General features: G+C 43.6%; 1 protein-coding gene across 1 annotated transcript; it reads left to right on the top strand.

Moving 5' to 3' along the window:
• The first annotated feature begins 597 nt into the window (after positions 1-597).
• GPHB5 (glycoprotein hormone subunit beta 5) lies at positions 598-6698 on the top strand. Its single transcript, NM_145171.4, has 3 exons — positions 598-709; positions 1683-1887; positions 6417-6698. Exons 2-3 carry the CDS (start codon positions 1684-1686, stop codon positions 6603-6605), a joined length of 393 nt encoding a protein of 130 aa, NP_660154.3. The 5' UTR covers positions 598-709; position 1683; the 3' UTR covers positions 6606-6698.

Raw genomic sequence — 6698 nt, 5'->3', positions numbered from 1 at the left:
TGAAAAGTTTTCTTTAATTCCCATGCTGGAAGATAATCACTTGGAACATCGTGGTATTTTTTCCTAAATGATTCATTTTAAGGCGTTATTAATATCATCTAATTCTTAGCTAATTTTAAGACTTTCGACATGTTTCTTCTCACTGTGATTTCCATCTTTTCAGGTAGTGATCCTGTGTTCTTTCCAGCAAGAATTATCGTTTTGTTGTTTTTCAGTGCATTGAAACATGTTGTCGGTTAAAGGAAAGGGTTTGCCATGAGCTGCTAGTCACTTACCCCTGTTTCAAAGGAAACTTGTGGTTACCATGAAGGAAAATTTAATCCATCTGCCACAATGCATTTGTTCTCCTGAGAACCAGGTGGAACTACCTCTGACTATTTCCTTAGGATTATGCCACCCACCAAGGTAACTTTCTATTTCAGTAGGTGATGTTGAGAAACAAAACAACACCCTTTAAGTTAATCAGTTTTGGAAAATAGAGACTGGCTTTCTATTCCATGGCTTTGATGTGTTTAGTAGTTCCTGTAAGGATCTGCCTCTCTTTTGTTTTGATTGACAAGACTTTTCCTATATATTTGAGCAATCAAGCAGCCCAGTAACAGAAGGTAGAGACATTTACCCAGGGCAAACTTCTACCATTCATTGTGACTTCCTGAAATCTTAGTGCAAGTTTCAGCTCTAAAAGAAGAGTGGGCTCCTGCAAGATTAGGTAAGTGCTTCTCCGTATTTGTAACCTCATTCCAGAGGAGGGGAAGCCCAGAGAACTTGCTACAGTAAGGTCAGAAGTAGGAACTGTGAGAATAATGAATTCAGTAGGGGGTAAAGGTCCATGAATGCCATATCCTTTATACTTCAAAATCCACGTGAGTTCTGTCTAGTGGGCCAAGCATGAAGGGGGTTGATTCTGGCTCCGGAAAGAGCACGGGGAATGACCAAGACCCAGAGAGGGTGGACTTGACGGTGGATTGAGGTTATGTTTTAAATAACTCCTATGCTTTCCATCATTTGGATTTAAATTGAATCATAAGTAGATGCTGTTGCAGTGGAAGCCTAGAGCAGAAGCAATTTACAGTGAGTAGGACACATTTATGAATGGCCACCAACTCAGGTGATAGGTTTCATGATATCTTCTGCATATCCATGTTTAGTGGTGAGTTGGTTTAGTAACGATGCATATAGGGAATACTATTATTAATATTTATCAACCCCTCCAAATCATTCCCCATCATGACACTGAAAATATAGTTTTGAGCAAAGTATGTAACATGGCACCCAAATACCCTGGACCTGAATAAAAATAATTTATATGTATTCATGTATTCTGTTGGATTATGGATTAGTTTTGGTGTTACTCATATTTTATGTTTATTTTGGAAAGACCACTGGGACAAACTTCTTTAACACACAAGTCAACTGCAGCAGTTAAGTTACAATAAGGAAAAGCCTGAGAATGCACTTGGAGGATGGGCATCTAGAGAGGGCCATGGAATCCACACTGGCACCAGTTACAGGAATCTCTGGATGCCTGTGTTGGAGTTTGTGGGCATTTACAATTTCTGGGCTCATTTTCCCTGAAATGCTAGGAGCAAGGTCCCTTTGATAGTGACAAATGCATGGTTGGCTGTGCCATTGAAGGCAGCCAGATCTGTTAAACTCTGTCCTTTCCCTCTCCGGAAGAGCAGCATGAAGCTGGCATTCCTCTTCCTTGGCCCCATGGCCCTCCTCCTTCTGGCTGGCTATGGCTGTGTCCTCGGTGCCTCCAGTGGGAACCTGCGCACCTTTGTGGGCTGTGCCGTGAGGGAGTTTACTTTCCTGGCCAAGAAGCCAGGCTGCAGGGGCCTTCGGATCACCACGGATGCCTGCTGGGGTCGCTGTGAGACCTGGGAGGTGAGTTGCTAAGTTGTGCAGATGACAGTGTCTTCTAGGCCAGCAGCTTGGGTCTGATTCTTAAGAGTTCACTTTTTAAATGATATGAGGTAGAGCTGGGACATCTGCCCTTTCCTGTGGACTTAAAAAACCAAAACAAAACTATGATTGGCATCTTCCAAAAGTGATTTGAAAAACATGATGTTGCCCCTCTAACAAAGCATTGATAAGGTTAAGAATTTGGTTTACATTGTGTCTATGTATCTGGGAATCATCTCTGGGAGGTCAAGATGTACTGTTCTACCCGTTTTACAGATGACATGGAGGGATTCAAGGGAGAGTGGCTGCAAAGTCACGTAGAGCGTCAGTGTAAAGCTGGGAATCAATCTGTGGTTCAAGCTTGTGACCCAAACTCCTCCCTATGTTTCCTCATTTTGGATAAATTAGCCAGTTTCCAAGAAAGAGGCCCTGAGCTGAAGGGTGAGCGTTGGTCCCAGTGAAGGGTGAGACCCCTTCACTGCCTCTTCTGCAGCCCTTTTCCTCCTCAAGTCTCTGGGAGCCCTCTGGGGTTATCACTGACGGATCCATTAAGTTCCTTCATATTCAATTATACCTGGCCTTTTTAGAGACATTTAATTTAAAGTGGAGATAACACTCTCAAACAAAGTTAAAATCCTATTGGGCTAAGAGGAGCTGTTTGAGTGATGAAGAGGAAGAGAGCTATTCAGCACCCCAGCAGATCACATTACGTAGTGACTGTGGGCTCTTCCCCCTGAGGCCTGCCCACTTGGTAACCAATGAAGTGCTGTCTCTGATCTTGTCACTCCCTGGCCCAAAAACCTTGAATGTCCACACACTACTACAGATTCAATAACTAACTTTCAAGGTGCTCAGCAATATGGCGTCTGCCTGCTTTCCTGGAGACAGCACATTTTCTTACTCTGGCCTTGGTAAGTGACTTTCAAAGGTTTTATCAAATAGCCCTTATGGATCTCATTTTGTTCCTTCCCTCATATCCCTTCTCCTTCCCATCTGTCATTATCATATTTATTCCTGATGCCTATCTGCAGTGCCAGCTCCCTTTCTGGGCCTTTTTTGACTTGCAGGTAAGCCCTTGACTATGCTCTACTTTTCGTCTTACTTCCTCCCCCACCACACGCGTGATTTAAATTTTTTCAGGACAGAGGTTCATTCTTATAACCTTCACAGCTTTTGTCAAGATGTCGTGTATGAACAAGGCATTCAATACACATTTGTTGGTTGACTGGGATGGACCTCCCCCTGGAGCTGTAGATCCTCCAGCCTAATGGAAGGCCATTTAGAATCACACTTGCACTGTGAGTGGACACTGCCATTGGGAAAAATAGCCTTCTCTTTGGGGACCCAGAGGGTAACCTGCTCTTGCTTAGGTACAATTACGGCCCTGTGAATGGAATTGGGTCATAGTGATGAAATCTCCAAATTGGATGAAACTACTCTATCAAAGTAGTTTTCTTTTGCCTCATTCAGGGGCTTGAGCCCTACTAGCCCAATGAAAATCGGGTTTTGCTAAGTAGACTTTGCCTGTCAATTGGCAGCAAATTCACCTGGGGCACTTGGCACCTCCTCCTGTTCAGGGACTGGCCTGGCAGGGCCTCTCCCTGTTCGCATCTAGTGTCTGGGCTATTTGAAGCCCTCTCTGTGCCAAATCCTCAAACTCCTGCTTCCGTTCGATTCAGCCCATCTTCTCTTCTTTTTAAAAACTGATGAATGTCTTTAATTGGATCATGGTCACCCATAGGAGGTCAGGAACTGTGCTCTCACTGGAAAGATGGAAACACCAAAACCGTTAAAGAACAAGATTCTCCCTGATGTTAGCCAGCTTTCATTCATGTCTTGACTGTGTTATGAAAAGGGAGGTTACCTATAGAAAATAAATAAAAGAATGAGATTCATTTTCCCAGCAATCTGAAAGTTTCTGCGCTATAAAGCACTTGATTTTTTGGTGGGGGGGATCTTAACTGAAAGCATGTCTGAAAATAAGGATGTTCATGATGACAGGCTGGCTGGATTTACATTTGAAGGTTGTTGAAAATAGCTATTCCTCATAATCTGGGTATAGAGTTGCCAGATTTAGCAAACAAACAAACAGACAAACAAAATAAAACAAAACCAATCCCCTCCCCACAGAAACCCAAACTGAAATAAAACCAGAAAACCAGGAAGCCCAGGTAAATTGGAATTTAAGATAAATAATAAATAAATTTTTAGCGTAAGTCTGTCTGTCTCATACAGTATTTGGGATGACTTATACTAAAAAATTATGTATCTGAAAATGAAATTTTACGGGGCGTTTGGTCTGCCTAGGTTCCCAGAGTACTAATGGTAAGAGGACTTAAAGCAAATACGGGAAGGTAGGAGAAAACAGTTCAGGACAAATTCAGCTCTTCTGGTCTTTGTCAAAGGCAAGGCTGGCCGGGCGTGGTGGCTAACACCTGTAATCTCAGCACTTTGGGAGGCTGTGGTGGGTGGATAATGAGGTCAGGAGTTCGAGACCAGCCTGGCCAGTTTTTAGTAAAGAGGTGAGTTAAACCCTGTCTCTACTAAAAATACAAAAATTAGCCGGGCATGGTGGTATGCACCTGTAGTCCCAGCTACTTGGGAGGCTGAGGCAGAAGACTTGCTTGAACCCAGGAGGTGGAGGTTACAGTGAGCCAAGATCATGCCACTATACTCCAGCCTGGCGACAGAGTGAGACTCCATCTCAAAAAAAAAAAAAAAAGAAAAAAGAAAAAAAAAAGGTAAGGCTGCTATTTTCATGACATTCATGCAAGAACATCTTGAGTTACATATGTATATATATTCTTTTTTGCCTAGAACAAAGAAGAACCAAAAAGCAAAGGTACTGTCATTTGAAAGCTTGTTATTATTTACATTACTTTCTTATAATAATTGCACTAATAAGAACAATGGATTGGCTGGGCGTGGTGGCTCACGCCTGTAATCCCAGCACTTTGGGAGGCCGAGGCAGGCAGATCACGAGGTCAGGAAATCGAGACCATCCTGGCTAACATGGTGAAACCCTGTCTCTACTAAAAATACAAAAAATGAGCCAGGCGTGGTGGTGGGTGCCTGTAGTCCCGGGAGGCTGAGGCAGGAGAATGGCGTGAACCCGGGAGGCGGAGATTGCAATGAGCTGAGATTGCGCCACTGAACTCCAGCCTGGGAGACAGCAAGACTCCGTCTCAAAAAAAAAAAAAATGGATTGCATTTTTTGAACATTTACTTTGTTCTAGACATTGTGCATTGCGTATATCATCTTACCTTATCTCTCAAACAATGGTGGGAGGTAGCTATTTTGTTTTACAGAGGAGGAAACTTGAGTCTTCAGGAAGTTAAGTGGATTTTCCAAGGTCTCCAGCAAGTGGCAGAACAGGGACTCAAGCTCCTTAGTTCTGACTGCAGGGCTCGAGATTTTAACTCCAGCTAGGTGCTGATATTTTTTCTGATCTGTGTGTTCTGTTTATCAAAATTGTCTTTGAACTTAAGATTTATAAAAGGTGAAGGAAGGAAATGAATCTTTTTGATGATCAGAACAGTGCACAGAGTATTCGGGAACCTGTCTTGTAATGTTTTCTTTCATTGATTCAATGACAAATAGTTATTGAAACTCTCCCGGGGTCTGTTTTGGGTACTTGAGGCACAGTGGGCAAAAATCTCTGTCCTAAAAGAGCTTACTTTCTAGAGTGGGAGGAATATCACACGAATGAAAGGTAGACTACGTCGTGTGGTATTGATCAGTGCTGTGGTGGAAAATAAAGCAAGATGGGGGATGGGAAGTTTCTGGGCATGGAGATGGAATGTTGCAATTTTAAATAGGATGGTCAGGAAATGCTTCCCTGAGAGGGTGACATTCTAACAAAAACCCAAGGTTGGTGAAAGAGTGAATCATACGGGAGAAGAATGTTCCAGGCAGAAGGAACGGTAAGTGCAAAGGCCCTGAGCTGGGGCTGTTCCTGGTGGGTCAGAGGAGCAATAAGGAGACCGCCGTGAGCCTAGTGAGGAAGTCAGTGAGGTGGGAATGGTTGCAGGCATTTCAGAAGGTAGAGTTGCAGAGAAGGTGATGTAGGTCTTGAAGGTGATCATAAGGTCTTTGATGTTTGTTCTGAGTGAGATGGGAAATCACTGGGGCTTTGGGCAGAGGAGTGACATGATCTGACTTAGGTTTAAACAGGATCACTCAGGGCCGCTGTGTTGCAAATAGATTGTAGGGAGTAAAAATGGAAGAGGGGAGACCAGTTAGAAGGTATTTGCAATGACTAAGATGATTCATTTGCTGACTATGCATGGAGCACTTGCTGTGTGCTATGGTCTCTCCTGGGAGCTTAGAATATGGTCTTGAGTGAAATCAGCTTCTTGCTTTCAGGAGTTTGTTTTCTACTGGGAGACGACAGAGCAACAAGTAAATCAACGAATAACAAGTTAATTTCTGATAGTGATAAATGATACTAAAAAACTGAAACAAGATCATATGTTCTAATGAATTCTCTGTTTTCTATCTATGGGGACAGAAACCCATTCTGGAACCCCCCTATATTGAAGCCCATCATCGAGTCTGTACCTACAACGAGACCAAACAGGTGACTGTCAAGCTGCCCAACTGTGCCCCGGGAGTCGACCCCTTCTACACCTATCCCGTGGCCATCCGCTGTGACTGCGGAGCCTGCTCCACTGCCACCACGGAGTGTGAGACCATCTGAGGCCGCTAGCTGCTCTCTGCAGACCCACCTGTGTGAGCAGCACATGCAGTTATACTTCCTGGATGCAAGACTGTTTAATTTCGACCACACCCA

This window comes from Homo sapiens, chromosome 14 (assembly GCF_000001405.40).
Source record: "Homo sapiens chromosome 14, GRCh38.p14 Primary Assembly".
NCBI lineage: Eukaryota > Metazoa > Chordata > Mammalia > Primates > Hominidae > Homo > Homo sapiens.
Note: the sequence above shows the minus strand (reverse complement) of the source record. Positions and strands in the feature narration are given on the sequence as shown.

Coding starts and splice junctions, on each gene's coding strand:
- GPHB5 (NM_145171.4), top strand. CDS start 1,684: ATGAAGCTGGCATTCCTCTTCCTTGGCCCCATGGCCCTCCTCCTTCTG. Junction 1,888..6,416: donor GTCGCTGTGAGACCTGGGAG/GTGAGTTGCTAA, acceptor CTATGGGGACAG/AAACCCATTCTGGAACCCCC.